Source organism: Homo sapiens, chromosome 9, assembly GCF_000001405.40.
Source record: "Homo sapiens chromosome 9, GRCh38.p14 Primary Assembly".
NCBI lineage: Eukaryota > Metazoa > Chordata > Mammalia > Primates > Hominidae > Homo > Homo sapiens.
The window spans coordinates 124,199,730-124,215,010 of NC_000009.12; the positions used below are offsets into that span (position 1 = coordinate 124,199,730).

The window sequence follows — 15,281 nt, forward strand, 5'->3', positions numbered from 1 at the left end:
TTATTTTTTTTTTTTTTTTTTTTTTTGCTTTTTTGAGAAAGGGACTTTGTCTGTTGCCCTGGCTGGTGTGCAGTGGGACAATGATAGTTCACTGTAGCCTCAAACTCCTAGGCTCAAGTGATCCTCCTGCCTCAGCCTCCCAAGTAGCCGGGAATACAGGTGCCCACCACCATGCCCAGCAAATTTTTAAATTTTTTGTAGAGACGGGGGTCTCACTATGTTGCCCAGGCTGGTCCCAGACTCTTGGGCTTAAGCAATACACTTGCCTAGGCCTCCCAAAGTGCTGGGATTAAAGGCATGAGCAACCATGACTGGTCATCCAAGGCCTTACATGTGCTCATGTGAGTTGACTGAGACCCTCGCACTCCTGAGACCTGCCATGAGAAGAATTCATCCCAGCTGTAGCATCCCTTCAGCCTGGTTCCCAGAATAAATACATTGGGGGAAGACCAGAGCCCAGCCTGCAGCCTGACGCAGCGGGGGCCAGCCCATTCTAGGTTAGCTAAACCACATCAACTTGCTCGCCTATGACCTGGGAGCCTGAGACAAGACTGCATCGGTCACTGAGTTTGGGGAGGGCTGTTTGCAGCATTACTGTAGCAACAGCTGACTAGTTCATGTGTTCATGGCAGGTTCACTTTGTCCTCAAGCCTGTCCCCAAAGGTCATGGATGGCTGCTGCAGGGCCGGGAGTTATGTCTTCAGTCATACAGAGAGGCAAGCGAAGGGGGCAGCTTTTCCTCTTGCCATGTATCTTTTTGTTTGTTTTATTTTTAGACTGGAGTGCTGGAGTGCAGTGGCACGATCTCAGCTCACTGCAAGCTCTGCTTCCCAGGCTCAAGCAATTCTCCTGCCTCAGCCTCCCCTGTAGCTGGGATTACAGGTGCGAGCCACTACTGCCCAGCTAATTTTTGTAGTTTTTATTAGAGACGGGGTTTCACCATGTTGGCCAGGCTCGTCTCGAACACCTGACCTCAAGTGATCCACCTGCCTCAGCCTCCCAAAGTACTGGGATTACAGGCATGAGCCACCATGCCCAGCCCTTCTCTTCCTTAAATTCAGTCCTAACTTTTCGTTTTTGATCAAAGGGAATGTTTCCCTCTCCCCAGTAGGCATCACCTCCTGTCTAAGGAGCACAGTCCTGTCACCCAGGCCCTGATCGATCACTCGCAAGAGGGATGAAATCATCCCAATAGGTTCACCTTGGTGCCCATTTCCTCCCTCCTTGTGGCCAGAAAGGGAGCCCGTGAATCACAGGGGCACCCAGTGGTCAACCCAAATCAGATTTCCGTCAGTTAGGACAGAAGTGGAGCAGGGCAATTGAGTGGGAACCCACAGGGCTGGCCACTGACTCCTGCTGCCCCAGGAAACCAGTGATCAAATGTTAGATGTGTGAAGCATATGTCAAATGCATCAGTGAAAAAACAGCACTGCGGGTCTTGTTTCCTGCAATTCCAGTAGGTCCTCCCTGCATTTACGTCTCTAAGGCAGTGGGGGACTGCCAGGTTGTCATTCACAGGCCCCTCCCCCTTTTTTTTTTTTGAGATGGAGTCTCTCTCTGTCACCCAGGCTGGAGTGCAGTAGTGTGATCTCAGCTCACTGCAACCTCCAGCTCCCAGGTTCAAGCCTCCTGCCTCAGTCTCCCGAGTAGCTGGGATTACAGGCGCACACCACCATGCCTGGGTAATTTTTGTATTATTAGTAGAGATGGGGTTTCAACATGTTGGCCATGTTGGTCTTGAACTCCTGACCTCAGGTGATCCACCTGCTTCAGCCTCCCAAAGTACTGGGATTACAGGCATGAGCCACTGTGCCCGGCCTTATGGGACCATTTTGAAAAACAACATATAAAATGGATAAAGTCAGAGATACTCTGGTTCCTAGGGGATATTGGTGGAGAGGGGAGTGGGGGAGTAGAAGCCCGATTTTCTCTGCCTTCCTCTTCACTCCCTCCTACTGAGGACCCCAAGAGACATTGTCAAAAAAACCAGGATTCTGTCAAAGTCAGTTAGGAAATTATTGGAAAACAGAAACAGAGCTCACATTTACTGAGTATCTACTACATTCTAGGCAATTGGGCATAGATTTGCTTGGAAAATATCCTTTATGCTCATTTAAGAAGAAATGAATCATTGTCTGAGGCCCTACCATAGCAGTAGAGCCAGGATTAAAAACCAGATGACTGGGTCGGGCGTGGTGGCTCACACCTGTAATCCCAGCACTTTGGGAGGCCGAGACAGGCAAATCACGAGGTCGGGAGATTGAGACCATCCTGGCTAACACGGTGAAACCCCATCTCTACTAAAAATACAAAAAGTTAGCCAGGCGAGGTGGTGAGCGCCTGTAGTCCCAGCTACTTGGGAGGCTGAGGCGTGAACCCGGGAGGTGGAGCTTGCAGTGAGCCGAGATGGTGCCACTACACTCCAGCCTGGGCGACAGAGAGAGACTCCATCTCAAAAAAAAAAAAAAAAGAAAGAAAGAAAAAGAGAAAAAGAAACCAGATGCCTGCCTCCAAAACCCATTTTTGGTCTCAGTCACAGAGCAGTGACCCTCAACCCAGCTAAGGGCTGGCCTTGGGACGGTCCCCAGGCTGGGCGTTTTGGAAACAGCGTCCATTCTGGAGCCTTGTGGTGGGTGATTTTGGAGAGGCCCGGGTTTGAGCTCCAGCAGTGAATATAAATTGCTATGCGGCCTTGGGCGAGTCTCTTCACCTCTTTCAATCTCGGTTTCCTTATCTGCAAAATGAGATGTTGGGTCCTTACATCTGTGACATCTTAGGACCTAAATTTAGCCCACTCCAGTTGGCCTGGATTGATAGCTGCTGGGTGAGCCCTCCCACAGCGAGGAGGCAGGAACAGCATTGAAGGGCCTGGGCCTCCCAGAGAGGAAGTGAAACTGGAGGCCTCTGCCTTCTTCCACCCCCTCTCCACCCTCACACACTGCCACCTTCTGAACTAATTGAAACCCAGCCAGAGTGGGCCCCCGCCAGTGACTCAGCCCCTGGCCCTATCTGATTGTCAAAGTCAATTCCTAGAAGTTGAAGAGAAGTCACTTCTCTTCTGCTGCCATTGCTACCACCTCCCACTGCAAGATGAGTTCTAATTCTGTCCTTCAACCACAGTCAGGAGGAAGGCAGTGAAGACACAAGAGGCTTTCAGGGGAAAGTCTGGGTTTGATGTGCGGAGGCTGGGCAGTGCTGGAAGGGGTGAGGGAGGAAGGGGACCGTCCTTGTCATGGTTGGAAACATGATGTGCAAAGGTGGGGAGGGGGGTGGGGGCGGGCAAGATCTCAGCTTGCCACTTATCAGCTGTGTGACCTTGGACACATTCCGTCATCTCTCTTTGCCTCAGTTGTACATCAAATAAACAGGAAAGCCCTCCTTCCCAATTTCACTTCTCAGAAGTAACTGCCGCTAGTGGTTCAGGGTTGCAGATACCAATCCAGAAGAGACAGAGAAGAAGATGGGAATTGAGATGGAAAGTAGGTACATGGGCACAGAGCGGCTGACTCTACACACAGTGGTGGGCTCATGCTGCGCTGGATGGTGGGGACAAGGGGAAGAGTGCGGGCTCTGCTCTGAAGAACTTGGCTTTGAAGAATTTTCTATCTCCTTCACTGATCTCCAAGAGAACATAAACCCAACAAGGCAGGAATTCTGCCTGTCTTCCCCAGCACGATACCCCCAGCACCTGGGCTTGTGCCTGGCACACAGGCACCTGAACAGAGGAACGTCAGGAGGCAGAGAAGCTAGAGACCTGGCTGCTGCCCCTTGACTGCAAGGTAAGCTGGCAGGTACTGGACAATAGCACCTGGTACCCAGTTTCCAAGCGCAAAATGCACATGTCTGCTGCTTCACTTCTGTCTTCCAAATCTCACTCAAAACGTCTTTTTTTTTTTTTTGAAACAGAGTCTTGCTCTGTCACCCAGGCTGGAGTGCAGTGGCACAATCTCAGCTTACAGCAACCTCTGCCTCCTGGGTTCAAAGGATTCTCCTGCCTTAGCCTCATGAGTAGCTAGGATTACAGGTGCCCGCCACCATGCCTGGCTAATTTTTGTATTTTTAGTAGAGATGGGGTTTTGCCATGTTGGCCAGGCTGGTCTCGAACACCTGACTTCAGATGATCCGCCCACCTTGGCCTCCCAAAGTGCCGGGATTACAGGCGTGAGCCACCGTGCCTGGCCTCAAAATGTCTTATGACCGACGCTACCCCAGAGCTATGCAGGGAAGGGAATCTGGGAAACATAGTTTCAGTTCAGTCAAGTTGTCACAATACAAAGCCACCTCAGTTCAGATCATCAAGACGCCTTCAGATTGTACCGTGACAGAGAGCAGGAACGTTAGTTAACATAATCTGGGGTTTAGACAGTGACTGTGGACTGATGTCTGCCCGATGTGAATACGCACTGCTTTCATCCACCTTTCCGATGTGGATAGAAAAGAATACACTCTCCAGATCAATAGCCACATACTAAGAGCCAGAGGTGATGACAATCTGTTCAATTAAGATGCCACATCTGGCACAGCAGCTGTGATTGGTCCTACCACTTAGTTATATTTGCAGTGATTTACCATCTTCTGCCATGATCCACCAGGTTTTTTGTTGTTGTTTTTTTTTTGTTTTGTTTTTGGGGTAGAGTTTTGCTCTGGTTGCCCAGGCTGGAGGGCAGTGGCGTGATCTTGGCTCACTGCAACCCCCGCCTCCTGGGTTCAAGTGATTTTCCTGCCTCAGCCTCCCGAGTAGCTGGGATTACAGCCATGCGCCACCACACCCAGCTAATTTTGTATTTTTAGTAGAAATAGGGTTTCTCCGTGTTGGTCAGGCTGGTCTTGAACTCCTGACCTCAGGTGATCCACCCGCCTCAGCCTCCCAAAGTGCTGAGATTACAGGTGTGAGCCACCATGCCCAGCTACCACCAGGTTTTTACAAAGGCCCTCTTGGTGACCTAAATGGGGGTATGATAGGAACCACCACTCCTGCATCCTTTAAGTCTTTCAGGGTGGCTCTCATCTCTGCAATTGCTTCTAATATGCGGTATCACTTCTGATTTACTATCTTAGCCAGGCTGGGGCAGTCCATTCTGACATATCCACCTCTATGAGCCCTTTTTTTTTTTTTTTTTTTACAGAGTCTCACTCTGTTATCCAGTCTGGAGTATAGAGGCACAGTCACGGTTCGCTGCAGCCTCAACCTCCTGGCCTCAAGCAATCTTCCCACCTCAGCCTCCTAAGTAGCTGGGACTACAGGTGTGTACCACCACACCTGGCTAACTTTTCTATTTTTTGAAGAGATGAGGTCTCACTGTGTTGCCCAGGCTTGTCTTGAACTGGATTCAAGCAACCCTCTCACTTCAGCCTCCCAAGGCGCTGGGATTGCAGGCATATGCCACTGTGCCTGGCCAGCTTTTTTATTCCTTCCTTGAAACTTTGCCATGGCAGTTTCGTCATCTCCATCTCATTTGCTGTAGGCTCATTTCATGTCCAAGCCCCAAGTAGCCATCCCAGCAGCATTATAAAATGGGACCAGGGCTCCGGAGTCACAGGAGAGTGTCCCATATATCCTCATATCCATATCACCTTATATCCTCTGTCCTCTAATATAGGATGATCACCCCCAGGGGTGTTCTCCTAGTTCCTACAAGTACACATGAGCCAGCTCCTGCACAATTCATCTCCTACTAAAGAAACTTTAGACCATGCCAAGACCTGACCCTAGTTATTGGTCTGAATAGCAGTTGGGAAAAATTGAGGATGTTGTAGAAGAATCCACATTATCCTGAGAAGCAAATCATCCACCTCAGGTGAGGCTTTGCATTGTCTCCCACCAAGGGGAGGCTGCTCTTCTCTAGCAAAGAGGATGGGAGATCACTTCTACCAGTCCAGACTTTCAGGGGAATCTGAGGGTCCGGTTTAACAGGAATACCCACACAAATGTTCCCCTCCTAGGTTTCAGGGTCCCAGTCTTTCCCTACTGGCTCTCTGATTTCAGCATAGAAGTCTTTCTGGAGTAGTGAATTTAGCCCCCTGTGTACTGCCACTACTCTTGCAATCAGATCTTAGGTCTGATTTTCAGCACAGTCTGCCTTCTGGCTTCAGGAGTTAATGGTCTATTTCAGCACCACCCTGTGAGCCTTCCGGCTTTCACACTGGGACATAAATTGATAGTTGGCTAATCTGAGCCTGCCATTTTCTTTGTTTAGGGCTTTAATTGCAGTTAACTTCAGCCAAACAACTCTGCAATCCTTACAGTTACCATTGCCCCCTATCTCTCAAGTGATAGAGATATACCACTGTGTTTCCTTCCACCTACAAATCTTCCCAATCCAATCAGGTGACAGCCTTAGCAAGACTGAGGCTACAGCACACCAGGTGTTACCACCACTTCACTTACCACCAGAAATGTGGTTTTTATTGCCATCTTGACTGTGAGTGATTGCGTCCAAGAAGCCTATCTTGAGAATCTACTTCCCAGGACCATTTGCAATACCAACTGTCTCAGGTTATGTTCCCCTAGAAGCAGATCCTGAGACAAGGATTAAGTGTAAGCAGCTAGTTTATTTTAGAGCTGATCTCAGGAAATAACAATAGGGAAATGGGGAAGCAACACAAAGAAGGAAAAGCAATAAAGTATATGTGTTAATAAGCAGGCTCCCACTATGGGCAACTAAGGCTCCATGTCACCAGGGAACTGTCAGAGTAGAACATGCCGTAGAGCTGTCCTACTCAAGGGGAAAGGAAGCTGGTATATTTGTCCTTCCACTCCTGTGCACCCTTGGCTGAATGCTATTCCTGAGGGTGTTAACAACCCCATGCTTCTGGCCTCAGCCAACCAACTCTGCAATATGGTGAAGAGGAAGCACTCAGGCAGAAAATCAATCACAGGTGCTTGTGCAGGACACCATCTGCATGTACCAGAAAATCAAGTACCCAGGGGATCTGGGTGGGGCACTGACTGCAGCAACAGGTCTATTGAGAGTACAAGATATACATGCATTGCAATTACTAAAGAATAAAAAGAGCGAAGTTACTGAAAGCTTACTATGTTTAAGCATTTTACATGCTGTTAACTCCTTTCATGTTCACAATAACCCTGTTAGTTGACTACTATTAGGATCCCCATTTTACAGGTGAGGAAAATGAGACACGGAGGTACTAAGACATGGAGATACTTGCCCAACATCCCACAGCAAGTAAATCACTATTCTTCAAGCTCCATGAGGGCTGTTGACTCTTCACCGATGTGTATTTGGTGATTTTGTTCACCAATGTATATTTAATAGACATTTAATGTATCTTTGCTACGTAAAATGTATATTTACAATGTATATTTAACAGATTAAATGAATGATGAGATTATCTCGTATGTACACAATGAGCTCCTCGAGGACTGGAACTGGATCTTTTGGTCTTGGTATTCAGAGCACCTAGCACTCAATGAGAATTTATTGAATAAATGAGTGAATGACTTAGGTAGGGGCTGAGAACTGGAAGTCTCTTCCTCTGCCACAAATAACTGTGGGAGCTTGGCTAAGTCACCTCCCTGGCTTGGCTTCAGTTCCCCACTCTAGAAACACGCCACACCACACTTGCCTCGTACCCTTGCAGACCCTTGCTCAAGTACCACCACTGCCATAATTCTTGGACTCTCATTGGCACTGCCAGTCCATTGGCCCCACCTCTTCTCACTATCCATTGGTCCCCTCCTGGCTTCCTTCCTCTACTTGAGTGATTCAATTTCACCCCATCATCTTCCCGGTGGTGTGTGAGTTTCCTACGGCAGATGTAACAAATTACCAGAAACTGCATGGCTTCAAGCAAAAGAGTCTATTCTCTCACTGTTCTGGAGGCCAGAAGTCTGAAATCAAGGCGGCAGCAGGGCCGAACTCCCTGTGAAGTCTCTAGAGGAGAACCTTCCTCATCTCTTCCAACTTCTGGCTCCAGGTGTACCTCGGCCTGGGGCTGCATAACTACAGTCTCTCCTCCATCTTTACATGATCTTTTCCTCCTCTGTGTCTTGTCTTCTTCTTTTTTTTTTTTTTTGTGGTTGTTATTTTTGTTTTGTTTTGTTTTGTTTTGTTTTGTTTAGAGGGAGTCTCTCTCTGTTGCTCAGGCTACAGTGCAGTGGTGCCATCTCGGCTTACTGCAACCTCTGCCTCCTGGGTTCAAGCAATTCTCGTGCCTCGGCCTCCTGAGTCTCTGGGATTACAAGCACCCACCACCACACCCAGCTAATTTTTTGTATTTTTTAGTAGAGTCGGGGTTTCGTCAAGTTGGCCAGGCTGGTCTTGAACACCGGACCTCAAGTGGACCCACCTGTCTTGGCCTCCCAAAGTGCTAGGATTACAGACTTGAGCCACCTCGCCCGGCTGTCTTCTATCTTTATAAGGACACTGTCATTGGATTCAGGGTCTACAGGAATAATCCAGGATGATCTCATCCTGAGATCTTTAATTACATCTCCATAATTCAATTACATCTCCAAAGACCCCCACTCCCTCTTTTTTTTTTTTTTTTTTTTTTTTTTTTTTTTTTTTTTTGAGACAGAGTCTTGCTCTGTCACCCAGGCTGGAGAGTGGTGGTGCCATCCTGGCTCACTGCAATTCCACCTCCCAGGTTCAAGTGATTCTCCTGCCTCAACCTCCCAAGTAATTGGGATTACAGGTGCACACCACCACGCCTGGCTAATTTTTTTGTGTGTATTTTTAGTAGAGACGGGGTTTTGCCATGTTGGCCAGGCTGGTCTTGAACTCCTGACCTCAAGTGATCCACCTGCCTTGGCCCCCCAAAGTGCTGGGATTACAGGTGTGAGCCACCGCGCCCGGCCCAAAGACCCTTTTTCTAAATAAAGCTACATTCACAGGTTCTGGGGGGTTTGGCTATGGACATATATCTTTGAGAGCACCATTCAATTTACTACACCCGGTGACTTCCTGACTCTATGTGCCTGTGCCACCCCACCCAAGTGAGTATCACTGGAGAAAATCACACAGCTAAGCTTCCGGGTTTCACTCTAAATTCATGACCACAGACCTCAAATGGGCACCTCAAGCTGCCCCACAGAGCCTCCTGTGTTTCTCTTTTCTGGAGTAAGCATTTCCTATCTTTTCACTTTTCAAATGTATCACCCCCTTGCCACCCCATCTCTCTCAATAGGTAACCATGCCCCAAACACCACTGATGGAACAGATGCTCAAGAGGCGTGACTGCCTTCTTGGTCTTGCCCCATCCCTGTGAACCTATCTCATCTGCCTTGGTCTTTGTGTCCTCCTTCCTGGCATCCAGAGGCCATGTCCCTTCTCTTCCCAGAGGCCAATGCCATGACTTGTGCTCTGAATCCCATTCCTTCTCGCCTTTTGTTTTTTGGTTGTTTGTTTGTTTGTTTGTTTGAGACACAGTCACTCTGTAGCCCATGCCTGTGTCATGCAGTGGTGCGATCTCGGCTTGCTGCAACCTCTGCCTCCTGGGTTCAAGCGATTCTCCTACCTCAGCCTCCCAAGTAACTGGGACTATGAGCGCATGCCACCACGTCCGGACAATTTTTGTATTTTTGGTAGAGACTGTCTCTACCAGTCTTGAACTCCTGACCACCTGATCCGCCCACCTCAGCTTCCTGAAGTGCTGGGATTACAGGAGTGAGCCGCTGCATCCACCCCGCTTCTTGCCTTTTTAAGGGCTTGAATCCTATTGTGTGTTCCTGATCAGTACCTCCCTCTCCTGTTAGCCCACAGACCTGCTCCGGGGTGTTGCATCTTGAAAACTCCTCCCACCTTGGGCCCTTCCCCTCCCTTCCTCCTCCCATTATCTTTGTAGAGCTGCCTCTGACTCCTCACCTCCCATCTTCCTTTCGTTAGCCCAACCCTATTGCCTCTATTCCTCTGAACGGAGTCCTAGGGCTCCCGGGAGGCCCTGTAGGAGTAAAGGCAGGAGGTAAGGGGCTCCAGGCCCTCCACTTCTCTCCAGCCTCAGCAGCAGAACACTCATCTGTTCAAACTAGGCTATTCCGGCCCCAGCCACCGAGACCCCCTGTTCTATCACTCCGAATGGAATCTCAGCCTCTCTTCCTTTTGAGGCTTTGTTTTGGGGATGCACTTCTTGATTCTTAGTTTGGGCCTAATTTCAGCCAGTTCAAACTGGTTTGAGCTGAATTAGGACAAATACAACCAGCCACTGCCAGCTTCAAATGGTTTGAATCAGCTAGATCAGTTGACCAGTTCACTGAGCTCAGATGGATTTCAGTGATCCATTGTGGCTAAAATCAGGCCAACCCAGAGAGTTGAGAACGGGCCCAGTTAGAGAGACCCCATGACAGGATGGAGCTGGAGTCACTTCCAAACCTGTTTGCTGGTTTCATCTAGTTTGCTCTGGTCATAATGAGCTTTTGAAGTGTCTTGGGGGTGGAGGGGGACACCATAAATTTACGCTTGGAAAAAAATTTCAAAGTGTTTGGAAACCACTGGGCGAATAATTACTAAGATGTCCAGCCCTGCTCATGGTTTTAAATGCTAAGGGAAGGCCAGTGTTGATGTCCATTTTATTTTTAGTTTTATTTTCTGAGATGGAGTCCCACTCTGTCGCCCAGGCTGGAGTGCAGTGGCGTGATCCCAGCTCACTGCAACCTCCACCTCCCAGGTTCAAGCAATTCTGCCTCAGCCTCCCGAGTAGTTGGGATTACAGGTGCCCGCCACTACACCCAGCTAATTTTTGTATTTTTAGTAGAGATGGGGTTTCACCATGTTGGCCAGGCTGGTCTCCAACTCCTGACCTCAGGTGATCTACCTGCCTTGGCCTCCCAAAGTGCTGGGATTCCAGATGTGAGCCATTGTGCCTGGCCCATTTTATTTATTTTTTATTAAGTTTTAGAGCTTTCATTTTTCATTTTTTCACTTTAATTTTTATTTTTAAACACTTTACTTTTTTTAGAGCAGTTTTTTTGTTTACAGCAAAAGAAGCAGAAAGCACAGAAAATTCCCATATACCCCACCACCTCCAACCCCATTATTTCACCTATGATGAACATCTTGAATTACTGTAGTACATCTGTTACAATTGGTGAGCAGTATTAACACATTATTATTGACTAAAGTCCATAGTTCACACTGGGATTCACTATAGAATGCACAACACAAATGTATAATGCATGATGACTCATGTATACACATTTAATGTACAATGACTAACATATAATGACAAGCACCCACCGTAACAGCATCATGCAAAATAGATTCACTGCCCCAAAATCCCCTGTATTCCACCTCGTCATCTCCCCTCCCTTCCTCCACCCCCAGCTTCTGGCAATCACCGGTCTTTTTTTTTTTCTTACTGTTTTAATAGTTTTGCCTTTTCCAGAGTGCCATATAGTTGGAATCATACAGTATGTTGCCTAATCAGACTGGCTTCTTTCACCCAGTAATATGCATTTAAAGCTCCTCCATGCTCTTTCATGACTTAATAGTTCACTTCTTTTTTTTATTGTGGTAAAATATACAAAACACAAAATTTTTCACTGAGACAGAGTCTAACTCTGTGGCCCAGGCTGGAGTGCAATGGCGTGATCTCGACTCACTGCAAAATCTGCCTACCAGGTTCAAATGATTCTCCTGCCAAGTAGCTGGGATTACAGGTGCCCACCTCCATGCCCAGCTAATTTTTGTATTTTTAATAGAGACGGGGTTTCACCATGTTAGCCAGGCTGCTCTCAAACTCCTGACCTCAAGTGATCCACTTGCCTCGGCCTCCCAAAGTGCTGGGATTACAGGCGTGAGCCACCACACCCGGCTTCATTTTAACCATTTTGAAGTGGCATGAAGTACATTCAAATTGTCGTGCCACCATCCATCACCCAAACCGAAATCCATAACCATTAAACCATAACTCCTCATTCCTACAGTCTGTTTCTTTTCATTACGGGATAATATTCCATTGTCTGGATGGGCCACAGTTTGTTTATCCACTCACCTATTGAAGGACATCTTGGTTCTTCCCACATCTTGCCAATTATAAATGAAGCTGCTATAAATATTTGTGTGCAGGTTTTTGTGTGCACATAAGTTTTCAAGTCATTTGGGTAAACACAAGGAGTGTGATTGCCGGGCCTCTGTCTGACTTTATTTCATCAACCGCATCAAGCACCTGGAGTGCGGCAGGAGCCAGGCCCAACACTCTATGTCTGTTACCTTATTTAATAACAGCCCACAATACAGCCAGGCACAGTGGCTCATGCCTGTAATCTTGGCACTTTGGGAGGCCAAGGCGGGTGGATCACATGAGGTCAGGAGTTCGAGACCGGCCTGGCCAACATAATGAAACCCTGTCTCTACTGAAAATACAAAAAAATTACCCAGGCATGGTGGTGCACACTTGTAGTCCCAGCTACACCGGAGGCTGAGGCAGGAGAATCGCTTGAACCCAGGTGACGGAGGCTGCAGTGAGCCAAGATCATGCCACTGCACTCCAGCCTGGGTGACAGAGCAAGACTCTGACTCAAACAAACAAACAAACAAACCCACAATAACCCTGAAAACAGACGCTGTTATCCCCAAATTACTGAGGAGCAAACTGAGGCTCAAGGAGGTGAAAAAAAACTTGCCCATGGTCACATATCTGTGAACTGGCATGGCCAGGATGCCAATCCAAGCTTTCAGATTTACAGAAATGTGCACGACTGAGAGTTGGGGCAGAGAGATTATTTCCGGCTTTCTTTTCTAATCATTTTTTTTGTTGCTCCTTTTCTCCCTTTGACATAACAAACCAGTTTGTTTTCCGATCTGATTGTTCTCAAAGGAATGTCCTTTCCTTCTCCGTTACTCTCGGTTTAATTGGAATAGTCCTCTGACTCAGGAATGACCTACTTTTGGCTAATAAAGAAACCTCTCCACCCCCACAAACGCTGTCCTGTGAGTCCCCTTCCTCATCCATTCGCATCCCTGGACTCACTTGGAAACAGCTCCTGGTTGTGGAGAAACAAACATCTTCAAGTGGATAAATCTCTTTATCTTGTGAGACCTTCTCCCATGTGTGTGTCCTGTGATTGTGGGGTCCCTGGGGAGACCCAGGATCAGGGCAGGCACATCGGGATGTGTTGCAGGCAGCAACCACCGTGGGTGGTTTTCTTTATGGTCCACCATGTTCGTGGGCAATAGAGCTGAAGTTCACAGGGTCACGCCACCCTGGATCCAAAGGAAAACACAACCAGAAAAGAGACGGGGCCCACCCATGCCAACAGCTCAGCCAGGCCCAGTCAGTACCCCCTAGTGGCCTCCCCTTCCTTCCCCATCCTGGCCCATTCCCTCCATCTCCAAGCCCCCTTAAGTACCAATAATGGAAGTGCTTACCAGGCCCCGCAACAATTCACCCTTATCTTTTATTTATAGCTGACAAAGCTCCAAGCAGGAAAAATATAATCACACTTTAAATAATGGAAGTTGTAGGTATTAGAGCTACACGGGCAGTTACTGGAGTTGCAGCGATGTCTCCCTGCAGACCTGACGGGGCGCATGCCGACTGCATTTTTAATTTTTAAAACATATTTCTTCCCAAATTATTCCACGTTACCGAGGAGCCACATTTATGGGGGTGATAAATTACTGTAATAAAGTGCCTCTTCCTCAAATATATAGGAGGAAGGCACGTTGAGCACAGCCCAGCACAGGCAGCCCCGAGAGAGTGGCGAGAAGTCCCACTGCCTCCCTCCTCGCTTTAATTATTTGGCTGATGTGTCCTACATTTTTAATACAGTCACAAGTTTTCTTTAAGCAAAGAATTCGAACCGGTAACTAATTTGTATTTGTGTGTGCCGGTGCCTGGGAAGACATACGTATGTGAGTGTCTGTGTGTGTACCCTTGGGCAGTGAGACATGCGTGATTGCAAACCAATGTAATGTGCGTGTGTGAGCATGTCTGCAAATATGCATGCATGTTTGCATGTGCAAGTGTAGGGAGGCAGCTTGTGGATGCCCGGATATGAGCCACACGTGTGGATGCCCAGGAGTATGAAAAGATCCCTGACTGTATGGGGCATGCACGTATGAGCACATTTACGTGGATATATGTGCATTAGCTAAACACGCATTTTTGTGTAGACCTGTGTGCACCGTACACATAGCGTGCATGGATTTGTGCGTGTCAGAGCACACTAGTGTGGACGTATGTGTTCGGGCACGTTTTTCTAGGCTGATCTGCCTTCTTGCAGACCTTTGTGTGCCTTTGAATCTTTTCTTCTGCATTGAACCACCTCCCCTTCTGTCTTCCCTCCTTCCCCAAACAGTGAAGCACTGAGGTTAAGCCAGAGGCTCTGAGGTCAGACTGACTGGGTTCAAATCTCAGCTCTGCCTCTTATGAGCTATATAATCTCAAGCAAAGCATCTGGTGCCTCAGTTTACCCATCTATAAAATGGGGTTCATATGAAGAGTAGTTACCTCATAGGGCTGCTGGGAAGATGAATGGGTTTAATACACAGAAAGTGCCGGATGTGTAGTGAGCACAAAGCACTTCCTCCTTCCTGTTGGACATAGCACACGCTTCCTTGGGAAGTTACATGCTAGAGAGAGCCAAGGGTGGGGAAGCCACGACCCTGTGAGGCAGTGGTCTAGCTCGGCACCTACCCTCCTCCTGCCCCAGCTCATCTGGTGGGAGGAGAGCCATGGGGGAGGGAGGGTGAGCACTCAGCTACGCGAGTTTGTGGATGCTCGAGGGCAAGGCTGTGCCCAGTTCATCTCTGCTCCCCTGGCCCCAGCACAGGGTCCGGCAGAGTGGGCACCATGGGCATTTGCCATCTGGACAAAAATGTGAACATGTGAATGGGAGGGGAGATGGGGTAGAAGATGGGTGTCGGTGGCTTATTTGGGAGACGGTGATCACAGGAAGTAGGAGAGAGAGAGTGGGGACAGTGGGGCAGGGAAGAGAGAAAAGCCAATAAGGGTCTTCCTGTGCAAATGAGCAGGTCCCTGGGTGGGCGCACGGGGCTCAGTTCCACTGGGGCCCCGCCAAGGGTCTTCACTGCCCGCCGCCCCTCCCTGGGGGAGGGCCTCCCCTGGGGACTTTTGCAGCCCTGACATTTCTGGGTTACCCTGTGTGAACTTGATCGCTGGGAGCTCCTGTGGTGCCGGAGAAAGCCCAGGCAGGGGACTAGGGGTGAGAACATGTAGTGGGGACAGTCCACTGCAGGGCAGGGAACTCAAAGGTGCTCCAAGGAGATATGGGCGGTACATCAACAGAAGCTGCTACAGGGCCATGTTGAACATCCAGACCCACAGACAGACCTGAGGGTGGACACATCTGCCTGTGG

The 15,281-nt window shown here is 48.5% G+C and overlaps 9 annotated features.

Moving 5' to 3' along the window:
- Positions 687-866: an enhancer, noted in NCBI's record as "active region_28962". NCBI's record gives its function as "activates an Ori minimal core promoter by ATAC-STARR-seq in GM12878 lymphoblastoid cells {active_cell/tissue: GM12878}" and the evidence as "EXISTENCE:reporter gene assay evidence [ECO:0000049][PMID:35858748]".
- Positions 2,412-2,612: a silencer, noted in NCBI's record as "fragment chr9:126964420-126964620 (GRCh37/hg19 assembly coordinates)". NCBI's record gives its function as "represses an EF-1alpha promoter that drives an FKBP-Casp9 reporter gene in an ReSE screen in K562 erythroleukemia cells {active_cell/tissue: K562}" and the evidence as "EXISTENCE:reporter gene assay evidence [ECO:0000049][PMID:32094911]".
- Positions 2,512-2,571: an enhancer, noted in NCBI's record as "active region_28963". NCBI's record gives its function as "activates an Ori minimal core promoter by ATAC-STARR-seq in GM12878 lymphoblastoid cells {active_cell/tissue: GM12878}" and the evidence as "EXISTENCE:reporter gene assay evidence [ECO:0000049][PMID:35858748]".
- Positions 2,622-2,961: an enhancer, noted in NCBI's record as "active region_28964". NCBI's record gives its function as "activates an Ori minimal core promoter by ATAC-STARR-seq in GM12878 lymphoblastoid cells {active_cell/tissue: GM12878}" and the evidence as "EXISTENCE:reporter gene assay evidence [ECO:0000049][PMID:35858748]".
- Positions 2,921-3,065: an enhancer, noted in NCBI's record as "145 bp enhancer 159 fragment used in the MPRA reporter construct; PK_construct_3590". NCBI's record gives its function as "activates an SV40 promoter by MPRA in K562 cells {active_cell/tissue: K562}" and the evidence as "EXISTENCE:reporter gene assay evidence [ECO:0000049][PMID:23512712]".
- Positions 2,988-2,998: a transcriptional cis regulatory region, noted in NCBI's record as "NFE2L2 motif; enhancer activity is reduced when this motif is scrambled". NCBI's record gives its function as "necessary for full MPRA enhancer 159 activity {active_cell/tissue: K562}" and the evidence as "EXISTENCE:site-directed mutagenesis evidence [ECO:0005528][PMID:23512712]".
- Positions 3,012-3,061: an enhancer, noted in NCBI's record as "active region_28965". NCBI's record gives its function as "activates an Ori minimal core promoter by ATAC-STARR-seq in GM12878 lymphoblastoid cells {active_cell/tissue: GM12878}" and the evidence as "EXISTENCE:reporter gene assay evidence [ECO:0000049][PMID:35858748]".
- Positions 8,915-9,004: a silencer, noted in NCBI's record as "silent region_20258". NCBI's record gives its function as "represses an Ori minimal core promoter by ATAC-STARR-seq in GM12878 lymphoblastoid cells {active_cell/tissue: GM12878}" and the evidence as "EXISTENCE:reporter gene assay evidence [ECO:0000049][PMID:35858748]".
- Positions 9,065-9,114: a silencer, noted in NCBI's record as "silent region_20259". NCBI's record gives its function as "represses an Ori minimal core promoter by ATAC-STARR-seq in GM12878 lymphoblastoid cells {active_cell/tissue: GM12878}" and the evidence as "EXISTENCE:reporter gene assay evidence [ECO:0000049][PMID:35858748]".